Raw genomic sequence first — 24,898 nt, forward strand, 5'->3', positions numbered from 1 at the left:
GCTTTTGTTTTTCTTCCCCTATGCTGAGGGCCTTTTTACTGTATGAGGAATCAGGATTTCTGGATTGACATCTGTCTGATAGATATGGCCATTTCCAAAACTTTCCTTTTGATTTAGTTTATTCATTGGCATCATTAATCTAGAACTAATCACCTAACTTCTGTGAGCCTCAGTTTCGGCACCTTCCTTGCTAAAGCAATCAGCACTTGAATTGGTCCTTGAAAGAGTCAAATAGCTAAAATGTAGCAGGGCCGGAATTGAGATCCAAAGCCTGCATTCTTTCCATTGTATCACAGTACCTAAATAGCAGCCTCCCTTTAGTTTTTCTCACTTTCACTTTAGCCTAGAGTAAGATTGAAGACCTCTTTCCCCAGAAATGTCCAAACAAGGGCAATATATTCCTGAGTTTGGTACGCTTCAATGTTATATGCGGTTGTTCAGCCAAACCTGCTATGGAAAAGATTATGAGAAAGAAAGGCCATGTTAGGTAACTGATGTCTGGAGTCACAGAATGAACTACTCTTAGCTCAAGTTGACTTTATAAAACTTAGTCTGGCAAGTAACAAAACTGCTTCATTGACAGAGAGAAAGATGCATCATCTTGCCAGGAACAGTTGGATGAATTCCGGAAGCTGGTCAGGACCTTCCAGAAATGGTTGAAAGAAACTGAAGGGAGTATTCCACCTACGGAAACTTCTATGAGTGCTAAAGAGTTAGAAAAGCAGATTGAACACCTGAAGGTAGGTGAACAAAGGGACTCCAAGAATTGGGCTAGGCACTGGTTTGAATACTTGTATTAACTGGTCTCCAGCTGTGGTGGGGAAATGTATGAGAAATCCAAGTTGTCAGTCTGCATCAGAACAGAAATTCCTACGTTTTCTTCATATGATAACCATCTACCCATACAGTCCTTGAGAAGCATACACTCTCTTTGTATGTTTGAGAATTAGACAAATATATTTGAGCAAGTAACCAGATAATATGATCAGGAAATTGAGGATAGAAGAACTAGTACTACTTCAGCTAGTAAAGGAAAAGCTAGAATCAGATGGTTGGAAGGTACCTTCAAGGATGGGACCAACCTTCCTCCCATTCCCTGCAAAATCCCTTCTGTACTGTCTTTGATCCGTAATTATCCAGCCTCTGCTTACACCTCTAACCTATGTCTTCCTTTTGTTGAAATAAGCCAAATATGCCTCTGACTAACTGTCATGCACTTATCCTTATTTTCTCAGTAAAGCATACTTCATCCTGAGCAGATGAAAGAAAAGCGTTTGATTGCTTTCACAGAGTGAGTGCCAGGAGCATTTGCTGTTGGGAATTCCCTAGGACAGAGCTTTCCCAACATTTTTGTTTCACAGTGCCCATGGTGTTTTAAGAAATTTGTCATGGCACCTCAAGGCCAAAAAAAACAGAAACAAAAAAAAACTCCTAATACTTCTACTTGCTAAGAAGTTAGGTCCAAACAACTTAGTAGTTGTTCATATGGTGTTCAACAGATGTCACTGTATTTTCCTCAAAAATGTAAAATATTCTGTGAGTAAAGCCATAGTTTGGGGACTGTGGCTCTTTGGAATCAAGAGTGATTAATGGCCAGGCGCAGTGGCTCAACGCCTGTAATACCAGCACTTTAGGAGGCCGAGGCGGGTGGATCACAAGGTCGGGAGTTCAAGATCAGCCTGGCCAAGATGGTGAAACCCCATCTCTACGAAAAATACAAAAATTAGCTGGACGTGGTGGCAGGTGCCTGTAATCCCAGCTACTCAAGAGGGTGAGGCAGAGAATTGCTTGAACTTGGGAGGTGGAGGTTGCAGTGAGCTGAGATGGTGCCACTGCACTCCAGCCTGGGTGATAGAGAGTGAGACTCTGTCTCAAAAAAAAAAAAAAAAAAAAAGAGTGATTAATTAAAGAACTGACAAGCAGTGACCAAGGGTCAGTTTGAAATTAGGCAATATGAGTAGAGCTCTGTGCCTTTCTCTGCAGCTTAAAGTCAAAAGCAAACTAAGTAGATTGTCAGGGATATTCAGTATGGAGGAGGGCAATGAAGGCTAGAATGGTGTCCTTTCTCTGAAAGGAGTAAAATCCTACAACTATGGCAGGAGACATCTTGGAGACTTAACGTGATGTGGTATTTTTGTCTTAGAGCAAATGCCATTGTTTCCTGACGGATTTCTGTGGTAGTTGGATCTTTGATTTCAAACCCAATATAAAGTTTCCTTAATAAATGCAAAGTATAGCCTATGATTCTATGTATTTTTCTGTATCTCAATATCTAGCTCCTTATTTATCCTCTAGTTACCATTTCTTTTTTTATCTTTATATGCATGTTGTTCCCTCTTGTCCATCTGGCAAACTCTTATCTTTCTTTGCTTTTTTTTTTTTTTTAAGACGGAGTCTCACTCTGTCACCCAGGCTGGGATGCCGTGGCATGATCTCGGCTCACTGCAACCTCTGCCTCCCAGGTTCAAGCAACTCTCCCGTCTCAGCGCCCTGAGTCGCTGGGATTACGGGTGCCTGCCACCACGCCCGGCTAATTTTTTTTTTGTATTTTTAGTAGAGACGGGGTTTCACCATGTCGGCCAGTCTGGTCTTGTACTCCTGACCTCAAGTGATCTGCCCGCCTCAGCCTCCCAAAGTGCTGGGATTACAGGTGTGAACCACCATGCCCAGCCATTATCTTAATTCAGAGCTTTCCTTCCTCTAGGCAGAATTAGATAGAACTCCTCTTATGCTCTTGGAATTCACAGACTGTCCATAATACTGTAATAGCATTTATCACATTATAATGCAATTGATAATCTGAGCTTCTGGTTTTAGAAATTGTATCATAATTCTATTTTGTACCCCAGTGTTTGGCATGGTGCCAGTCATATAGTAAATGTTCAATAGATATTTGATAAATGAATAAATAAATCAGAAGGATGGTCTCTTAATGCTTTTCAAAACACTAGGGAGTATATACAGAACAGATGTCCCTACTTATGAGGAAAAAGCCCCAGATACTACATTTGGCCATTTTCTTCTTTAAACAGAGTCTACTAGATGACTGGGCAAGTAAGGGAACTCTGGTGGAAGAAATCAATTGCAAAGGTACTTCTTTAGAAAATCTCATCATGGAAATCACAGCACCTGATTCCCAAGGCAAGACAGGTGAGTACAGGCTCTTCAAAATATAGTGAATAAAAATTGCTCTTTGCTTTTGGCCTTTGGAGATGCCTCCTTATATAATTAAAGTGAAAATCAAGGTTGGATATGAAAACAAAGGGCATGCCCAAAGCAGTCTTCCCCTGCAACCTGACCTGTCACCCCTTTTGCTATATAACATTGCTCCATTTTGCAAAATTCCTTCCCATGATGGAAAAAGTAAATGAACTAGTTGTCCCACTTAGAACTATCAAATGAACACTGAATAATTAAAATGAGATTTTCATCTTGAGAATTTCCCTTTTTTGAATGTGTAAATGGGATGGGTAAGCATCATCTTTAAACTTGGGCACTGGCCAGCCACGAAGTCAGAAGATCAAAACCAGCCTGGCCAACATGGTGAAACCCCATCTCTACTAAAAATACAAAAATTAGGCCAGGTGCGGCAGCTCACACCTGTAATCCCAGCACTTTGGGAGGCCAAGGCAGGCGGATCACGAAGTCAGGAGATTGAGACCATCCTGGCTAACACGGTGAAACCCCATCTCTACTAAAAATACAAAAAATTAGCCAGGCATGGTGGCGGGTGCCTGTAGTCCCAGCTACTCAGGAGGCTGAGGCAGGAGAATGGTGCGGAGCTTGCAGTGAGCCGAGATCACGCCACTGCACTCCAACTTGGGCAACAGACAGAGCGAGACTCTGTCTCAAAAAAAAAAAAAAATACAAACATTAGCCGGGCATGGTGGCACGCACCTATAGTCCCAGCTACTCGGGAGTCTGAAACAGGAGAATAGCTTGAACCTGGTAGGTGGAGGTTTCATTGAGCCACGACAGTGCATGCACTCCAGCCTGGGCAACAGACAGAGTGAGACTCCATCTCAGGAAAAAAAAAAAAAAAAAAAAAAAAAAAAGTTGGGAAAGCCTGGGTAGGTATGATTGTGATATCCAGGAAGAAGCAAGGTATTTAGAAGTCAGTGTTGGGCCAGGCATGGTGGCTCATGCCTGTAATCTCAGCACTTTGGGAGGCCTAGGTGGGCTGATCACTTGAGGTCGGGAGTTCAAGACCAGCCTGGCCAAAATGGTGAAACCTTGTCTCTACTAAAAATATAAAAATTAGCCAGGCCTGGTGGCTTGTGCCTGTAATCCCAGCTATTTGGGAGTCTGAGGCAAGAGAATGGCTTGAACCCGGGAGGCAGAGGTTGCAGTGAGCCAAGATCGTGCCACTGTATTCCAGCCTGGGCGACGGACGGAGACCCCATCTCAAAAAAAAAAAAAAATCAGTACTTCAAAGGGGGTACAAAGATTGTGCCCAGATGTGTATATAATCTTTCACTGCAAATTAAGTCTTTGAAGCAAAATCTAATATGAAGGCCAGGCACAGTGGCTCACGCCTGTAATCCCAGCACTTTGGGAGGCCAAAGGAGGTGGAACACTTGAGGCCAGGAGTTCAAGACCAGCCTGGCCAACATGGTGAAACCCCATCTCTACTAAAAATACAAAAATTAGCCAGGCATGGTGGCTTGCGCCTGTAATCCTAGCTACTCAGGAGGCTGATGTGGGAGAACTGCTTGAACCCGGGAGGCAGAGGTTGCAGTGAGCCAAGATTGCGCCACTGCACTCCAGCCTGTGCGACAGGGCGAGACTCTGTCTAAAAAAAAATAAATAAATAAACAAAATCTCATGTGAGTTCCCAGTCACTTGCTCGTTGTTAATTGAGATCACATAAGTTTTATTACTAGTCTGTGATAGTGCACTCCTATAGTCACTTAACGAGTAAAGGAAAAATTTATTTGCTTTCTGAAAATGTGTACTTTTCTATAGTATTCTAAAGTTAAAAGATATTTTGGAACTATCCACAAGTGACATTTCAGGGAATTGGTGATATATCAACCTCTACGTTCAGTGACTTATTCGTGTGACTAAATCAGAGTCAGCAAACTTTTTCTATAAAGGGCCAGATAGTAACTATTTTAGGTTTGCAGGGTATATGGTCTCTGTCACAGTCATATACCTCTGCCATTGTAACAAAAACAGCCAAAGACAATACATTAATAGAAATGAGTGGTTGTGACTGTATTCCAGTAAAACTTTGTTGAAACAAAGGGCCAGATTTGACTGATGAGCTGTAGTTTACTGACTCCTAGACTAGATCATTTTTTTAAAAAAAAACCAGAAATCTCATATAGAACAGAAATCTCATATAGAACCCTACTACGTAAAACAAAACATTTTGTTGGCTGCCGGGCGCAGTGGCTCACGCCTGTAATCCCAGCACTTTGGGAGGCCGAGACGGGTGGATCATGAGGTCAGGTGATCGAGACCATCCTGGCTAACACAGTGAAACCTCGTCTCTACTAAAAATACAAAAAGTTAGCCAGGTGTGGTGGCGGGTGCCTGTAGTCCCAGCTACTCGGGAGGCTGAGGCAGGAGAATGGCATGAACCCGGGAGGCAGAGCTTGCAGTGAGCTGAGATCGCACCACTGCACTCCAGCCTGGGTGACAGAGCGAGACTCCATCTCAAAAATAAATAAATAAATAAATAATAAAAATTAAAAGAAACCATTTTGTTGGTGTAAGTTTCCCTTATATGTTATTTTATAGCATTTATCTGTTATGAAATCCATCAGTAAGAATATTGAGACTAACTTAACGAATATAAAAATTTGAAAAGGAAGATTATTGGATGACAGCTTCACCATCTAATTTCTTTCTTTCTTTTTTTTTTTCCTGAGACGGAGTCTCGCTCTGTTGCCCAGGCTGGAGTGCAGTGGCACGATCTCGGCTCACTGCAAGCTCCATCTCCCAGGTTCATGCCATTCTCCTGCCTCAGCCTCCCAAGTAGCTGGGACTACAGGCACCTGCCACCACGCCTGGCTAATTTTTTGTATTTTTAGTAGAGACAGGGTTTCACTGTGTTAGCCAGGATGGTCTCAATCTCCTGACCTTGTGATCCACCTGCCTTGGCCTCCCAAAGTGCTGGGATTACAGGTGTGAGCCACCAGGCCCAGCCTATCTAATTTATTTCTAAATTTTGTTTGGTTTCATTGTATCCAGAAAATATGGTTCACACAGATTAAGTAACTGCAAATGATGACAAATGTTTTTGAAAGTTGACTTCACAATGTCAGAACAGGCTTTGATTGAATTGAGCTAGAAACTTGAAAGTGATGTAATAAGAAATTATTGTTTCAAAGTTAAATCACTAAGAATATTTAATGAGGGCTTTTACACATAGAAAACACTTAAGACTGACATTGAGGACAAAAACTGTCCAACTGACTTGAAGTGTTAAGAATTCTATTATTACACAATTCTGCCACAATGAGAACTGTGTAGATGTACAGAGAGCAAGTCGTGTTATATTTTTGGTCGTGTTATTTAATGTATTACACATGTGCTATAGATGTTTTTCTTTGTATAGTATACATGAGTGGACATGGACAGGTTTGAATATCATAAATTGCTGGTAAAGAGCTACCACCTTTCCAATCAGGGACACTCAAAAATAACTTAAAATAGATGCTTAGATGTGTCAGGAGCTGCTTTACTTTCCCCAGAAAAGCAGCATAATTGGTTTTATCTGGTGGGTTAAGGTGTAGAATTCAGCATAATTGAACATGCATGTTTTATTATCATTTCTAAGTACTTAGAAATTTATGTGAATATTACATTTAAACCAAACATTAAACACAATCCCTAAAGCACGTTTTTAGGGTGTTTTGAAAATCAGTTTGAAAATTACTATCTTGAGTGCTCTCAAAGTTCTCCTCCAACTCTGAAAAACCATGTATATTTCAGTTCCTTACATTTATCTAGCTCCGTTTCATAAAGTACTTTGATATACATTCGCTCATGATCTCTTCCCAGTTACCCCATGAGAGTTAACAGGATAGGTTGTATTATCTTTAAATCCTGCAGAATAAACTGTGTTTGTAGATTAAGGCTCACATACTGAGTTAGTGACAACCTTGGTTAGTACCGTCTTCTCCCACCTACTAGTCCAGTTTCTTTTTTTGCATCACCACACTGCAATGGAATGTTATTTTTCTATTTTGTATTTTTTAATCGAAAATATAATAACATTAACATTTAAAAGTTTTATAATCACCACCCTAATTCAGCTAATTTTTTTCCTTCCTTTTAGAGACAGGGTCTCGCTCTGTCACCCAGGCTGGAGTACGGTAGTGTGATCATGGCTCTCTGTAGCTTTGACCTCCTAGGCCCACGCAATCAGCCCACCTCAAGCTCCTGAGTAGCTAGGACCACAAATGTGCACTGTCATGCCTGACTAATTTTTTTTTTTTTTAATATTTTTTTGTAGAGACAGGGTCTCGTGTTGCCTAGGCTGGTCTTAAACTTCCACCCTCCCAAAGTGCTGGGATTACAGGCGTGAGCCATTACACCTGGCCCACAACTATTTTGTTTTTGTTGTTGTTTTGAGATGGAGTCTTGCTCTGTCGCCCAGACTGGAGTGCGGTGGCACCATCTTGGCTCACTGCAACCTCTGCCTCCCGGGTTCAATCGATTCTCCTGCCTCAGCCTCCCCAGTAGCTGAGACTACAGGCGTCCGCTGCCACACCCAGCTAATTTTTTGCATTTTAATAGAGATGGGGTTTCACCGTATTGCCCAGGCTGGTCTCGAACCTCCTGAGCTCAGGCAATCCACCCACCTCAGCCTCCCAAAGTGCTAGGATTACAGGTGTGAGCCACCGCGCCCGGCCAACTATTTTGTAATATAACCTTGCACATGACTTTTTGTACAGTGAAGTCAGTGCATATGAGAGTTTTCTGTCCTTTTAAAGTATCATTATGAATATTTTTCAGATTTCTGTATAATATTTATCATTACCTCACCTGATTTTTACCTATCTTGGGAAACTTCTGAAATATAAGGAATCAGTTTGGGGAGAATGTATGTGAAATTATGGTGATTAGAAACAGAACCAAAGGCCCAAAGCACAATTTATAAGAATGTTGATGAGCCAGATTTATTGGCACTTAGGATTTCTGTTTTTTCTTGGGGAAAGGTGAGCAAGAAGAGGTTATGAAAGAAAAGGCAAATAATCTTCCTTTAAAAACAATATAAGAAGGGCTCATTTTAATGTCTTTATTAGAAGAAGGCTGCTTTTTAGGCCAGGCACGGTGACTCATGCCTATAATCCCAGCACTTTGGGAGGCCGAGGCAGGCAGATCACCTGAGGTCGGGAGTTTGAGACCAGCCTGACCAACATAGTGAAACCCCGTCTCTACTAAAAATACAAAAATTAGCCGGGCCTGGTGGCAGGCGCCTGTAATCCCAGCTGTTTGAGAGGCTGAGATGGGAGAATTGCTTGAACCTGGGAAGTGGAAGTTGCAGTGAGCCGAGATCATGCCACCGCACTTCAGTCTGGGCAACAGAGTGAGACTCTGTCTCAAAAAAGAAAAAAAAAAAGGCTGCTTTTTCTGTCCTTAATGGTATTTTCATTTTTATTATATTGAAAGATATTGATATAAAAGGTGAAACTTTCTGGCTTTATTATAAAAGCTTATTCCAAAATATGGCAAGTACCATTCTAGACTGAATAATTTTACCAGTACTTGCTTCACAAAATTAGGGCGGCATCCAGAGAATTCAAGTTGGAGATTTAATAAAAAGGGAATACGAATTTCCTCTAGAAGGGATTAAGAATCATTCCTGCTAAGAACCTTGAGTGACGTTTTGTTGCCTGGCAGCTAAAATAATTTGTCTCTTTCCATGAGTATGTTGTCTTGTGCTGTGTTAACTTCCTGATACCTAAGCTTAAAGTGAGGGCCAAAGGACAAATTCAGTGCCTATATGTATTCCTAACACGTTGGTCTTGCCCTGTTTGTCTCCCTGTCCTTCTGCTCAGGTTCCATACTGCCCTCTGTAGGAAGCTCTGTAGGCAGTGTAAACGGATACCACACCTGCAAAGGTGAGAATGCCATTTCAACAGTGCTTCTTTGTTGGATGTGTTAGGACAGTGTCTATGTTTGCATCTGTGTATGTTGCAATATGTGGTGGAAGAACTGCTGCCAGAATGGGTGTGAGGATAAAAATCTGGGGAGAAGCAACTGTGGTTTGCTGGCTATAGACCATAAACAGGTTGGCAGCCCCTGAAGCTAAAGGTATTGTAGAAATACAATAGATTGGATCACTAGATAAGGCAAATAGGGAAGGAACTCAAAGAAAATATATGTTAATCTTTGAATTATAAAGAAGTTATACTAGAGATAATCTAGTCTAGCTCTCAGCCTCCCAGCTAGGTGACTTCTCTGTAGTTTGGAGAAGAAGGAATGGAAGAATGCTCCAAGTCCCTTAATCCCAATAGTAAACTAAGGTTAATTTCTTACTTTGCTCCCTTCACTTTTGTTGTTCCCATGTTTAGCATTTTAAGGTATACATCTGAGTATATAATGCCAAAACCAGAAAGCAGATTAATGAGAATGCTTTTGTTTTGTGTATATAAATGGGAACTTTTGTATGATTTAGCAGGAAGATAATCTCTAATTCACTAGAAGGAGTAAGAGAGATGCAAGTAATTTAGGAGTGAGGAGTCAAGGAGCATACTCGAAGAGCTGTCTCCAATCTGATTTCTGTTTCTATGATACTAGATCTGACGGAGATCCAGTGTGACATGTCAGATGTAAACTTGAAGTATGAGAAACTAGGGGGAGTACTTCATGAACGCCAGGAAAGCCTTCAGGCTATCCTCAACAGAATGGAGGAGGTTCACAAGGAGGCAAACTCTGTGCTGCAGTGGCTGGAATCAAAAGAGGAAGTCCTGAAATCCATGGATGCCATGTCATCTCCAACCAAGACAGAAACAGTGAAAGCCCAAGCTGAATCTAACAAGGTACTGTGTTTACATTAGTTGCCTCCCAACACCAAGAGGAAGAGACAGCTGTACCAGTGTTCCTGCCCAAGCCCAGGTATCTGAGAGAGAGACATGGGCAACAATCTAGGCTGTGATGGGCAGTATGTTTGACATTCTAAATGATTAATATGCCTTAACTCTCCTAGAGAATTTTCTTATGAAATTAGAAATTGTTATAAGTTAGATTCAGAAACAAAACCAGGTATGTTTGCAGAAAAAGAATAGCCCTCCCCAGAATCGTTAGCTCATTGAGAATGGGATCTCATTTTCTATATGATGCTGTAAGCAAGACAAACCATTCTTATCAAAGTATCTTTCCAATTCTTAGAGGGATCTAAATAACAGTGATTACAGTTCATTCTTAAGATTGACATGTGAGACTAGGAAAAATGTCAGAAGATATAAGACCACAGAAAATCCTGTAGGCAAGTTTCACCAAAACTTTTAATATTCCCATTGAGCGTAGCATCTCATCTCCTTCAAGATATGTTATCATCATATCTTGGTATTTTTAGTTTATTTTGATTAATAATTCCTTCTTATTGAGTTCTACTGATGTATTATACATAAAAGAAACTCAGATCCTGCCATTTAGATTTTCATTTTAAAATAAAAATTGAAGTAGAAGGGTTAAGTATCTTAACACCACTAAACAAGTCATTGATAGGATCCTAGTAGAGTCTATAATAACTGCCCAGTTTTCCAATCATTTCTACCACACACACAACTTTGTTTCCTGTCCAGAATCTCATGGCATGCATGGCATTCTTTCTCCTAGGCCTTCCTGGCTGAGTTGGAACAGAATTCTCCAAAAATTCAAAAAGTAAAGGAAGCCCTGGCTGGATTACTGGTGACATATCCCAACTCACAGGAAGCAGAAAATTGGAAGAAAATTCAGGAAGAACTCAGTAAGTTTTCACAAGAGTGTTACAAATTTGCTAAGTTACTTGTCTTCAAAGCAAGTAGAGAATTTCAGCACATCCTATAAAACAGGAATTATTTTTAGTTAATTTTTATAAATAAGCAATTAGGATCCAGATAGGGCCAGAGCATGAGCCTGAATTGGGAAGAAAATTAGAAATTCCACTCAAAAAGTCAGAAGTTTGGCTTTCTTGGGCAAGTCAAACTGGTAATCTACTGTGATCAAGAACCAAAGAGAGGCCAGGAACAGTGCCTCACACCTGTAATCTCAGCACTTTGGGAATCTGAGACAGGAGGATTGCTTGAAGCTAGGGGTTCAAACCAGTCTGGGCAACATAGCAAGATCCTGTCTCTACAAAAAGCAAGGAAAAACAAATTAGCCAGGTGTGGTGGCATGAGCCTGGAGTCCTAGCTACTGGGGAGGCTGAGGCGAGACGATTGCTTGAGCCCAGGAGTTCAAGGCTGCAGTGAGCTATGATTGTGCCACTGAACTCCAACCTGGGCAACAGAGAGGGACCTTGTCTCCAAAAAAAACGTAACAAAAGAACTAAAGAGAGTATTAATGATAAAAATGAAAGATGGAAATAATAAAAATATTCAATAAAGAGATTAGATAAATTGTGTACTCATAATATTGAACTGTAAACAATGTAGATGAATTTTTTTTAATTTAATTAAATTTTTTTTTTGAGATGGAGTTTGCTCTTGTTGTCCAGGCTAGAGTGCAATGGCATGATCTCGGCTCACCGCAACCTCCGCCTCCCAGGTTCAAGCGATTCTCCTGCCTCAGCCTCCCGAGTAGCTGGCATTGCAGGCATGCGCCACCATGCCCGGCTAATTTTGTATTTTTAGTAGAGAGGGGGTTTCTCCATGTTGGTCAGGCTGGTCTCGAACTCCCGACCTCAAGTGATCCACCCACCTCGGCCTCCCAAAGTGCTGGGATTACAGGTGTGAGCCACCATGCCTGGCCTTTTTTTTTTTTTTTTTTTTTTGGGGGGGGGGACAGGGTCTTGCTCTGTCACCCAGGCTGGAGTACAGTGGCACAATATAGCTCACTACAGCCTCGACTTCCCTGGCTCAAGCAATCTTCCTGCTTCAGCCTCCTGAGTAGGTGGGACCACAAGCATGTGCTACCACAACTAGCCAATTTTTAAATTTTTTTGGTAAAGATAGGGTCTTGCTTTGTTGTCCAAGCTGGCCTTGAACTCTTGGGCTCAAGTGATTTTCCCACTTGAGGAGTTCAAGAACAGCCTGGGCAACATAGGGAGATCCCGTCTCTACAAAAAATAAAAAATTAACTGGGCATGGTGGCACACGCCTATAGTCCCAGCTACTTGGGACGCTGAGGTGGGAGGATCACTTGGGCCCAGGAGGTTGAGACTTCAGTGAGCCATGATCGTGCCACTGCTCTATCCTGGGTGATAGAGTGAGACACTGTCTCAAATAAGTAAATAAATAAATAACGCTTCTGGGGTCATTTCCTGCAGTATATTAGGAACATAACTTAGGTACCAGGCCAGTTGTTGATAATGTAAAGGAATACATTCCCTCATTTCCTCTCTACAGATTCCCGATGGGAAAGGGCCACTGAGGTTACTGTGGCTCGGCAAAGGCAGCTAGAGGAATCTGCAAGTCATCTGGCCTGCTTCCAGGCTGCAGAATCCCAGCTCCGGCCGTGGCTGATGGAGAAAGAACTGATGATGGGAGTGCTGGGGCCCCTGTCTATTGACCCCAACATGTTGAATGCACAAAAGCAACAGGTCCAGGTGAGCAATATAGCAACAAAGAAATTGGAATCACATGAAACTGGGTTTGAATGTTTCTCCCAGTAAGTAGATTTCATGTGATCCTGGACAAGTCATTTAATCTCTCAGAGTCTCAGTTTAAATGAGGTATTTATAAGGTGTTAATCATGGTGCCTGTAAAATAGTAAACAGTCAAAAACTCTATTATTATTATTAATAGAGACAGTAAGATGAGTAGATATGAGAATGGGGAGTTTTTCTGACTAAATTGTGGAATTACATTTTACTTTTGGCTGGGCGTGGTGGCTCACACCTGTAATCCCAGCACTTTGGGAGGTCGAGGTGGGCGGGTCACAAGGTCAGGAGATCAAGACCATCCTGGCTAACACAATGAAACCCTGTCTCTACTAAAAATACAAAAAATTAGCCAGGCGTGGTGGCATGTGCCTGAAATCCCAGCTACTTGGGAGGCTGAGGCAGGAGAATCATTTGAACCCAGGAGGCTGAGGTTGCAGTGTCCTGTCCGGACAGTAGAGCGTGACTCCGTCTCAAAAAAAAAAAAAATTTTTTTTTACTTGTAATCCCCTGTGATAGTGATCCACATTACTTAATATCTTATATCTGCCGGCTTTACATAGGATTTTCTGTGATCAAACCTCAAAAAAATTGATTTAAGTGCCTAACATCATAGAAATTTAGGTTGGTCAGGCCGGGTGCAGTGGCTCACACCTATAATCCTAGCACTTTGGGAGGCTAAGGTGGGTGGATCACCTGAGGTCAGGAGTTCAAGACCAGCCTGGCCAACATGGTGAAACCTTGCCTCTACTAAAAATACAACAATTAGCCGGGCGTGGTGGCAGGTGCCTGTAGTCCCAGCTACTCGGGAGGCTGAGGCAGGAGAATTGCTTGAACCCACGGGATGAAGGTTGCCATGAGCCAAGATGGTGCCACTGCACTCCAGCCTGGGCAACAGAGCAAAAACTGCTTCAAAAAAGAAAGAAATTTAGGTTGGTCAAAATTATGTCATTCCCAATGAAATCCTGCCTGGAGGCTTTTACTTCTTTTACATTCTCCCGCAGCCTGGTCCATGTCTTCTCAACTTACCAGGTTCCTTAAATTAAGACCTAAGAGTACTTTTTGAAGGAACTGCTTCTTTTAGTTCCTGCATCCAGGTAATTATTGAGTCCTATTTAGTCTACTTAACAAATATTTTTCTAATCCGGGATTTTCAAACTTTTTGGCTTCAAGAACCCCTTTTATTCTCTGAAAAATTACTGAGGATCCCCAAGAGCTTGTGTTTATCTATTAACATTTATTGTATTAAAATACTGAGGAATTTTAAAAGTATATATTTAAATTTTTAAAATAGCAATGATAAAACCATCACATTAACGTAAGTAACATATTTTTAATGAAAAAATAGCATTTTCCGAAACATAAAAGTTTGATAATAAGAGTGGCATTGGCCGGGCACGGTGGCTCATGCCTGTAATCCCAGCACTTTGGGAGGCCAAGGCAGGCAGATCACGAGGTCAGGAGATCGAGACCATCCTGGCTTGCACAGTGAAACCCTGTTTCTACTAAAAATACAAAAAATTAGCCGGGTGTGGTGGCGGGTGCCTGTAGTCCCAGCTGCTCGGGAGGCTGAGGCAGGAGAATGGCATGAACTCGGGAGGCGAAGCTGACAGTGAGCCGAGATCGCACCACTGCACTCCAGCCTGGGCAACAGAGCGAGAATCCGTCTCAAAAAAAAAAAAGTGGCATTGTTTTATGTCTTTGCAAATCTTAATTTCTGGCTTAATAGGCTATTCTGCTTCTGCATATCTGTTACAATATCGAATGCCATGTAGCTTCTGGGAAACATCATTGAACATTTGTGACAGCGCAGAAATTTTAAAAGGCAAATAACATCTTAGTATTATTATGAAAATGGTTTTGATCTCTGTATGTCTGCTAATCCTAGACCCTCCCCTGAAGTGCCTTTCACCAGCCTTAATCTCTGCTCTGCTTGGAGAACTGCTCGTTCTTTATTGTCACATCTAGGGAGCCTTTCCTAATTTCTGTCTTCTGCCATTTGTCATCCCCAGCGGAATTAGCCACCCTATTCCATGCTTTCACAGTTCTGTGTTGCGTGTTCACATCAGAGTTTAATCATTTTTACTTTTGTTACATTTTATTATAGTTCATTGTTTACACATTTGTCATTTCGTGAGGCTATGTCTTATTTATTTTTGTGCAGTGTAAATACTGAGTACTTTCTATAAATTATCTCATTTAATCCTTATAACAGCCAAAGTAAGTACTTTACTGTCCTCATTTTACAGATGAGGAAGCTGGGGTTTGAGAACTTATGAAATCTTGCCTAAGGTCATACAGCTAGTAGGTGACAGAACCAGGATTTGAACACAGGCAGTCTGACTCCACATCCTGTAATCTTAACTTTTTTGATGAAAGCAGCAAGGGATATGAAAAGAAAAAAAAGCCATAGTCATTGCCTTAAAGAAGCTCTTTGTCTAATTATGCTATATTATAAAATACAGATTGTATATGCTCTTCGAATTCTAAGAAAGAAACTAAGAAAAACAGACACTGAGAGTTGACATGGCAAGCCCAGCTAGTAATACAGCTGGCTCTGGGATCCAGTGTTCTGAACTCCCAATTCAGAGGCTTGGGTATTGCATGGCAAAGCAGATGAATGCCAACTTTAATTTCTCAGCCGTGTCTGGCCTTAGTAACTGACATTGAAACAGAATGGGACAAATAAGGAAAAGAAATAAAATAGGAACAATCAGTGATCCTTTCAAAGTAAGTTTTTATTAAGCAATTGTTAAGTGATACTGCCTCAGCCTAATAGCCTGGTCCTTTAGTTTTCTGGCTTATAGTTTTAAAGTAGTTGGCACTATTTGGCACAATCCAACATCAGTTTTTGTTTTGACACTGCTTTTTCTTTTTTGGAGACAAGGTCTCACTCTGTTGCCCAGGCTGGAGTGCAGTGGTGCTGCCTCAGCTCACTGCAACCTCGGCCTCCTGGGTTCAAGCAATTCTCGTGCCTCAGCCTCCCGAGTAGCTGGGACTACAGGTGTTCACCAGCACGCCCCACTAATTTTTGTATTTTTAGTAGAGACGGGGTTTCGCCACGTTGGCCAGGCTAGTCTTGAACTCCTGACCTCAAGTGATCCTCCCACCTCGGCCTCCCAAAGTGCTGCGATTACAGGCATGAGCCACTGTGCCTGGCCTGACACTGCTTTTAGATAGATCTGTTTTTTTCCTGTCTAAACATCTTGGTGTCATTTCTATTTCAGTTTATGCTAAAGGAATTTGAAGCACGCAGGCAACAGCATGAGCAACTGAATGAGGCAGCTCAGGGCATCCTAACAGGCCCTGGAGATGTCTCTCTGTCCACCAGCCAAGTACAGAAAGAACTCCAGAGCATCAATCAGAAATGGGTTGAGCTGACTGACAAACTCAACTCCCGTTCCAGCCAAATTGACCAAGCTATTGTTAAGAGCACCCAGTACCAGGAACTGCTCCAGGACTTATCAGAGAAGGTGAGGGCAGTTGGACAACGGCTGAGTGTCCAGTCAGCTATCAGCACCCAACCAGAGGCTGTAAAGCAGCAATTGGAAGAGACCAGTGAAATTCGATCTGACTTGGAGCAGTTAGACCACGAGGTTAAGGAGGCTCAGACACTGTGCGATGAACTCTCAGTGCTCATTGGTGAGCAGTACCTCAAGGATGAACTGAAGAAGCGTTTGGAGACAGTTGCCCTGCCTCTCCAAGGTTTAGAAGACCTTGCAGGTAAGTTGGGGTGAAGAACATACTTCTGCCATTATTAGAGGCAAGCAGAAAGAAGGAATGGGTTAGGAGTAGTCCCAAGATTCTAGGATTCCCTTACGTAATTTGTAGACTCAGAATGGTGTTAAACCAATTCCTTCTCCTAGTTGCAGTGAGAACTGTTGTAGTTGTTACACAGTGAACACTTAAAAATGTGAAGGTTTACATAGCATAGTCCTAAAGATAAAAGCTCTAATAAAATTTCAGTCAGCAAGTAGAGATTCATCCCCATAGATGTACTGATAAATGGAGTTCCACATATACTCTCATTGATACCCACTTTTTTTTTTTTTTTAATATTATGCATACCACACACACACGGTCTCGCTCTGTCACCCAGGCTGGAGTACAGTAGTGCGATCATGGCTCACTGCACCCTCAATCTCCTGGGCTCAAGTGAACCTCCCACCTCAGCCTCCCAAGTAGCTGGGACTATAGACACACGCCACCATGCCCAGCTGATTTTTTTTTCTTTTTTTTTTTTGAGACAGAGTCTCACTCTGTTGCCCCAGCTGGAGTGCAGTGGCACGATCTTGGATCACTGCAACCTCCGCCTCCTCGGTTCAAGCAATCCTCCTGCCTCAGCCTCCCAAGTAGCTGGGACTACAAGCACGTGCCACCATGCCTGGCTAATTTTTGTATTTTTAATAGAGACGGTGTTTCACCATGTTGGCCAGGCTGGTCTCGAACTCTTGACCTCGTGATCTGCCCGCCTTGGCCTCCCAAAGTGCTGGGATTACAGGCGTGAGCCACCGCACCCAGTGATTATTTTTATTTTTAGTAGAGACGAGGTCTTGCTTTGTTGCCCAAGCTAGTCTTGAACTCCTGGGCTCAACTGATCCTCCCACCTCAGCCTCCCCAAGTGCTGGGATTACAGGCATGAGCCACTGCACCCGGCTGCTTCTGGACTTCTTATGATAACTTGGTAGAAGAAAAATTGTGCCATTAATTTATTATTTATTTTTCTGGAACTGTTTATGACTTTCACGTTTACCAGCTAGAAGTCAAAGTTTACTTCTGTTACTTAGATCACCTTACAAGGTTGATACGAGGATTAAATAAGATAGTGTACATGAAGGAGCCTAATTATATGCCTCTTTTTGGTAGGCCCTCAAGTAACATTAGTTCCCTTCCCCCAAGATTAGACCGTATACTCTCAGCAAACATTTTAAATGCCAGGGTTCAGGCTTTATTGATTTCAATTTTATTTTCTCATTTCAGCCGATCGCATTAACAGACTCCAGGCAGCTCTTGCCAGCACCCAGCAGTTCCAGCAAATGTTTGATGAGTTGAGGACCTGGTTGGATGATAAACAAAGCCAGCAAGCAAAAAACTGCCCAATTTCTGCAAAATTGGAGCGGCTACAGTCTCAGCTACAGGAGAATGAAGAGTTTCAGAAAAGTCTTAATCAACACAGTGGCTCCTATGAGGTGATTGTGGCTGAAGGGGAATCTCTACTTCTTTCTGTACCTCCTGGAGAAGAGAAAAGGACTCTACAAAACCAGTTGGTTGAGCTCAAAAACCATTGGGAAGAGCTTAGTAAAAAAACTGCAGACAGACAATCCAGGCTCAAGGATTGTATGCAGAAAGCTCAGAAATATCAGTGGCATGTGGAAGACCTTGTGCCATGGATAGAAGATTGTAAAGCTAAGATGTCTGAGTTGCGAGTCACTCTGGATCCAGTGCAGCTAGAGTCCAGTCTCCTAAGATCAAAGGCTATGCTGAATGAGGTGGAGAAGCGCCGCTCCCTGCTGGAAATATTGAATAGTGCTGCTGACATTCTGATCAATTCTTCAGAAGCAGATGAGGATGGAATCCGGGATGAGAAGGCTGGGATCAACCAGAACATGGATGCTGTTACAGAAGAGCTGCAGGCCAAAACAGGGTCACTCGAAGAAATGACTCAGAGGCTCAGGGAGTTCCAGGAAAGCTTTAAGAATATTGAAAAGAAGGTTGAAGGAGCCAAACACCAACTTGAGATCTTTGATGCTCTGGGTTCTCAAGCCTGTAGCAACAAGAACCTGGAGAAGCTAAGAGCTCAACAGGAAGTGCTGCAGGCCCTAGAGCCTCAGGTAGACTATCTGAGGAACTTTACTCAGGGTCTGGTAGAAGATGCCCCAGATGGATCTGATGCTTCTCAACTTCTCCACCAAGCTGAGGTCGCCCAGCAAGAGTTCCTCGAAGTTAAGCAAAGAGTGAACAGTGGTTGTGTGATGATGGAAAACAAGCTGGAGGGGATTGGCCAGTTTCACTGCCGGGTCCGAGAGATGTTCTCTCAATTGGCAGACCTGGATGATGAGCTAGATGGCATGGGTGCTATTGGCAGAGACACTGATAGCCTCCAGTCCCAAATCGAGGATGTCCGGCTATTCCTTAACAAAATTCACGTCCTCAAATTAGACATAGAGGCCTCTGAAGCAGAGTGTCGACATATGCTAGAAGAAGAGGGGACTCTGGATTTGTTAGGTCTCAAAAGGGAGCTAGAAGCCCTGAACAAACAGTGTGGCAAACTGACAGAGAGGGGGAAAGCTCGTCAGGAACAGCTGGAACTGACACTAGGCCGTGTAGAGGACTTCTACAGGAAATTGAAAGGACTCAATGACGCGACCACAGCAGCAGAGGAGGCAGAGGCCCTCCAGTGGGTAGTGGGGACCGAAGTGGAAATCATCAACCAACAATTAGCAGATTTTAAAGTAAGTCTGAACCTTGTTTTTCTTTTTCTTTTACATGTATTTATTTGCTTGTAACTTGGAAACCAGTCAAGTATACATTTTAACTTCTGTCCCTAGTTTTATTATTGTCACTTCCATCACCATGAAAGCACACTGTCTGAAGACTAAATAGTCTCTCGGACTTCTGAGCAAACTGGTTTGAGCATTTTTCTTTTTCTTTTTCTTCTTCTTCTTCTTTTTTTTTTTTTTTTTTTTTTTTGAGACAGGGTCTCTCTCTCTCACCCAGGCTGGAGTGCAGTGGTGCGATCTCGGCTCACTGCAGACTCGACCTCATAGGCTCAAGCGATCCTCCCACTTCAGTCTCCCAAGGAGCTGGGACCACAGGCGCCACCATACCCGGCTAATTTTTTGTATTTTTTGTAGAGACGAGGTTTCACCATGTCTCCCAGGCTGGTCTCAAACTCCTGAGCTCAGGCAATCCGCCCACCTCAGCCTACCAAAGTGTTGGGATTACAGGCATGAGCCATCACGCCCAGCCAGAGCATTTTTCTATTGTAGTTTATTTCAGTCTTTATAACCAATTAAGGATATAGAAAGAAATGTCCAAGTCTTATCTCTTACTCTAAGAATTTCCTTTTAGGATTTCTTGAGATTTCAGATTACCAGATTTTGTAATAGCAGTGAATGTATCTTCAGGTCTCTGGTTTTTGTGTGTTTTTTTTTTTTTTTTTTTTTTTTTGGAGACAGAGTCTTGCTCTGTAGCCCAGGTTGGAGTGCAGTGGGGCGATCTAGGCTCACTGAAACCTCCACCTCCGGGGTCCAAGTGATCCTCCTGCCTCAGCCTCCCAAGTAGCTGGGGTTACAGTCGCTCACCACCACGCCTGGTTAATTTTTATATTTTTAGTAGAGATGGGGTTTCACCATATTGGCCAGGCTGGTCTCGATCTCCTGACCTCAAGTGATCCACCCGCCCTAGCCTCCCAAAGTGCTGGGATTACAGGCATTAGTCACCGCACTCAGCCCCCTGTTTTTCAAATTGAGGTATGAAAAGCCGTAAGTTAAACATAGTCTCATCTTCCTAAAGGGTTTATTTTACATAGATTTTAGGGGAGGATATTGATGTATATTTGATATATTATGGAATAAAACATAAAATTATCATTAATTGTTAAGATAAAACATGACACTTCAAATAAATCTCCCATTTATATAGTAAGCAGCTTAATAATACATCCCAGACTCCTCAAGAGTACAAGTTCTTTGCCTATAGGAAAGAAGTTTGAGAAGTACTGCCTTAATTGCAAAAATACTTTAATTCTTTGCCTGAGCCAAAATCTCCATTCCTGAGATTGTGTGAGTATAAATTAAAGTAACAGGAGATGATTACATGACCCAAAAGTGTGGATTTACTGGGTTAGGAGCACATCTGTTGGATCTTGGTTCTCACTATATTAACCTGTTGCCCCTAGAGTTTTCCTTGTGGTAAATACGTAAAAGTCTCTCACTCTGCCACTGTACATGGAATAGATTTGGAAAGGATACTTTCAGCACTTTGTTTCCATCACTAGAGTTAATTATTCCTGCTTACACAGTTAACACTCCTGCCATTAAAGTAAAATTGTGATCTCAGAGACCCTGCTTGCCAGCGTTATTTATCTTAAAAACATGGATGCAGAGGTAATGTTGACACCAGCTCAGAGCCACGTAGTCCTAGAGACGTCACAGTTTTGTAGACAGGATCCAAGTGCAAAAATGTGGCTGTTTCAGAAGGGCCCCTCTAGGAGCTTGGGAGAAATTCAGCACTAAAGTGGGACATTGGCTGAAGGCCTTCTTACCATGTTTGGAGATAGTACAATTTTGAGCAAGAGGAGTCATCGTATTTGGGTTTCTTGAGGCACCCAGATAAGGAAAGGGTAGGTAGAGAAAACGTAAACCCGTGAAGCAGTGCATTCCTCTTAGAAACTTCCTTTCTAGTGGTAGTGTGGCCTTCCCTGTTTCAGCTTGCACATTTTTCTTTCCTCTTTTGTTATAAGTGTCTCAAAAGCAGAGACTTTCTTCTACAGGTATGCTTCAGTTATCCAATTTACTTGCATCCAGGCTATTTAGAATTAACCATCTAACCAACTCAATGAAATTTTTAGAAAACTGAAACTTATCCCTTTAGGCTCCAAAATAGTTTTGTTTTATCAGCCGGGTGCGGTGGCTCACGCCTGTAATCCCAGCACTTTGGGAGGCCGAGGCGGGTGGATCACGAGGTCAGGAGATCGAGACCATCCTGGCTAACACGGTGAAACCCTGTCTCTACTAAAAAAAAATACAAAAAATTAGCTGGGTATGGTGGCAGGCGCCTGTAGTCCCAGCTACTCGGGAGGCTGAGACAGGAGAATGGCATGAACCCAGGAGGTGGAGCTTGCAGTGAGCCAAGATGGCGCCACTGCACTCCAGCCTGGGTGACAGAGTGAGACTCCTTCTCAAAAAAAAAAAAACACACAAAATAGTTTCATCTAACCAGGTTCTGGTTTATATAGGAATTATTTTAAACTCAATTTGCCTAATTTTCTAAATATGTATTATGCATAAGTTTTTTTTAATGAGTGCAGGTTAACATTATTTAAATGGTTGTACTGTCTATACTATGGTGATATTCTCAAGGATGTGAGACACATTTGGAGCTGCTTTGTATTAAGTATTCCCAAATTACTGTGCACTTTGATTTCTATATTGAAGTTATTGTTTAGGGCCTCTATAGTATTATACTGGTTGGATTGGCTGTGCATGTGTGTGTGGAGAGGAGGAGGTAATTTTGGGATTTCTGCCCACCACCATGATATTGGTTATTATTTCCTACTGCTATCACTTTTCACTGCTGTCATTTGGTCTGTGTAGTCTATTCCTCCCTTCTAATCTTCACTGAGCTAGAAAATGAGATAAACAGGCCTGTTAAAATTGCATTAGATATGAGCTAAAATGTACAAAAGAGTCCACATGCAGGCATAAATAGTGTTTGGATTTGAGGACAAGTCATCTTTTCCTTTTCATTTAATCCTTGGTTTCTAGAGACATTCTGACTTTTGATGTTGCTGGAAGATTTCAAAAAATTACTGGGCATTACTTTATCTTATTTCTATCCTAGTATGTTGCCTAATAGTGCTCAGAGTTCAATAGCACTTAGTTGCTTGTCATAGCCAAATTCGTTTCACTGATTTCTAAAAATAAGCCTTCCACCTCAGATACTCTGGATGTGAAGGCTGGGACTGGACACTGATCGGCTGGGCTCTTGCAGAGTGTGTTCATCAACAGTGGACTGGTGTTGACAAGGCAAGCCTGGAAGAAGAGTGGGAGAAGGGAGAAGGGTGGTGGAGTGTCCTGTGTGTAGTCCATTGTCAAGTCAGTAGGTAGTTACCATAAAATGATCAGTATCCACCCTCAAGTTGGGGATGCAAATCAAAAGCCCTGTTCCACCTGTCCACCTTGTAGGGAAGTCAAAAGCTTTGGAAAGAGTTTTTGCCTTCTCCCAGCAAAAATCTTTGGTCAGGAGGGGAGGAGCATATTCTTGGCTGAACTCATGCTGAGCTCATCGGAAGTGAAAACAATGAGAGGAGAAAAATTCTGTGTGTCAGTTCCATAGTCCCCAGGAGGCCGCATAAAGGGAAGGTCTTTTTGGACCCATTCTGAGGACTGAGTCATTTTCATGATTTGAGTGTGGAGTTCCTGGGTTAATGTATTATAGTCCAGCCATAGATTAATCTTTCCTTACTCCAGCAGCAGACCAGATTTATAAAGTATGACTCTGTTTTCAGATTCAAATTATTTTTAATAAGGTAAAAACAAAGATGAAGATAAATATTTTTAAAAACAGCATTAGCTGTAAGTTTTCAGCTCTTTTTTTAATGGAATCATACTTTTAGCACAGAATCTGCACAAGAGAAGAGGATATGAATCTGGGAGACGGAAACTCTGCTTTAACCCAGCTAACTCCATGGGAGCTAGAATAGACAGATGAGTTAGGCCTGTGAAGAACCCCCCAGTCTTACTTGGGACTGTACAGTCTTGCTGATAGATCCATGGATCTGCAGTCTGTGGGGAAAATTATTTCTTCCTTAAATGAATGTGGAATACTAAAATACATTATTCCTAGGAAAGGCTTTCCCTCAGTTGCTTCTGAATGATTAGTAGGTCCTCACTGGCAGACCAGATTCTATCACATGGGAGTGGAAGAGAGTTCCTTTCCACTCAAACCAGGCAGAGATCTCAGGCTTCCTGAGTTAGGATCTTTACCAGGTTCAGCTCTCTGTTGGAAGTAGAAAGGAAGAAGCCATTCTAGAAATCACTAATGAGAGGATTGAGCTTGTTTTCAGAAAGCTGGAAAGAAAAGACTTTGGCAAATCTCTTCAGGAAATTCCGTTTTCCTGAACAAGGGAGTCTGGTTATTGAGGAAAAGGAATTGTATGTGTCTAACAGGAGGCTAACAAGAAAGGAAGGACGTTTTTATCACTGAAACTTGAGCCAAAGAATTCCCCTAGAGTGACCTTCCTGGGAAGGGTAAAAAAAAAAAAAAAATATATATATATATATATATATATATATGTTAAGTCTCTGATGATAACAAGAGATTTTCCTCATTTTGAAATTCCCTACGTAGGTTTTACTTGAACTGAGATCATTCTGAATCTTAAACCAACCCCTCCTTTGCCCCCTGCTCCCCGCAAGAACCATGTGACTTCTCACTCAGAAAGTATTTGATGGTTTGGGCATCATACTGGTGAGCATTATCAAGAAACCTGGATGCACCTTCATTCACTTGTTTTTCATATGTATTTATATTGTTGTGTATTTGGGTCATGCTTCAGACTTGGCATTCTACCTCTCAGTGATAAAATGAACAATGGGGCCAGGCACAGTGGCTCACACCTATAATCATAGCATTCTGGGAGGCTGATGTGGGCAGATCACTTGAGCCCAGGAGTTCGAGACCAGCCTGGGCAACAAAATGAGGCGGCCCTTCTATAAAAAATAAATAAATTAGCTAGGCATGACGGCACATGCTGTGGTCCCAGCTTACACAGGAGGCTGACGCAGGAGGATCACTTGATCCTAGGACGTTGACGCTGCAGTGAGCTGCGTCCATGCCACCGCAGTCCAGCGTGTAACAGAGTGAGACCCTGTCTCAAAAAAAAAAGAAAGAAAGACAGAGAGAGAGGGAGGGAGGGAGAGAGAGAGAGAGAGAGAAAGAAAGAGAGAAAGAAAAGAAAGGAAGGAAGGAAAGAAAAGAAAGAAAGAGAAAGAAAGAACGAACGAACGAACAATGGGAAAAATTGACTGACAGACCTCTTTAGGGTCTGCGAGTTTCTCATAGTGGTTCACTTCACCCAGTGGTGCATATAAAGCACCCAAACCAGTTGGTCTTTTCCTTTCTTGTCTTTGAGGCTGGGCTGCTGGGTTCTAATAGGTGCAGCATCAGGCTTCCTTAGGATTATTTTCATTCCTAATTCAGGTTGAGCAGAGCCCAGGATCAGGGTCTCAGTATACTTGAAGTTTCTACCGGGGGACCTAGGTATCCTACTATGAAAACAGAATAAGAAAGTCTTGTAAACGCCTTCATTTGATTGATTGATTGATTGATTGATTGATTGATTGATTTATTGCCACATAGAAAGCAAGCTTAGGCATCTTCATGTGCACATGAGAAAAGCCCTGGAAGAGGCTG

At 42.2% G+C, this 24,898-nt stretch overlaps 1 protein-coding gene across 2 annotated transcripts in view, besides 1 other annotated feature; it reads left to right on the forward strand.

Annotated features, from left to right (window-relative positions):
* The window catches only part of MACF1 (microtubule actin crosslinking factor 1), a 402,972-nt gene that overhangs the window by 285,280 nt on the left and 92,794 nt on the right, over positions 1-24,898 (forward strand). For both annotated transcript variants that reach the window (NM_012090.5, NM_001394062.1), the window contains 8 exons: positions 584-740; positions 3,033-3,150; positions 9,015-9,077; positions 9,757-9,998; positions 10,798-10,927; positions 12,507-12,706; positions 15,988-16,483; positions 17,741-19,212. In NM_012090.5, the coding sequence (NP_036222.3) occupies positions 584-740; positions 3,033-3,150; positions 9,015-9,077; positions 9,757-9,998; positions 10,798-10,927; positions 12,507-12,706; positions 15,988-16,483; positions 17,741-19,212 (2,878 nt within the window). The remainder of the gene's footprint in view (positions 1-583; positions 741-3,032; positions 3,151-9,014; positions 9,078-9,756; positions 9,999-10,797; positions 10,928-12,506; positions 12,707-15,987; positions 16,484-17,740; positions 19,213-24,898) is intronic.
* Positions 17,945-18,441: an enhancer, noted in NCBI's record as "MACF1 eExon fragment used in the reporter construct". NCBI's record gives its function as "activates a pGL4.23 vector minimal promoter by reporter assays in mouse liver" and the evidence as "EXISTENCE:reporter gene assay evidence [ECO:0000049][PMID:25340400]".

The sequence above is a fragment of the Homo sapiens genome, chromosome 1 (assembly GCF_000001405.40).
Source record: "Homo sapiens chromosome 1, GRCh38.p14 Primary Assembly".
NCBI lineage: Eukaryota > Metazoa > Chordata > Mammalia > Primates > Hominidae > Homo > Homo sapiens.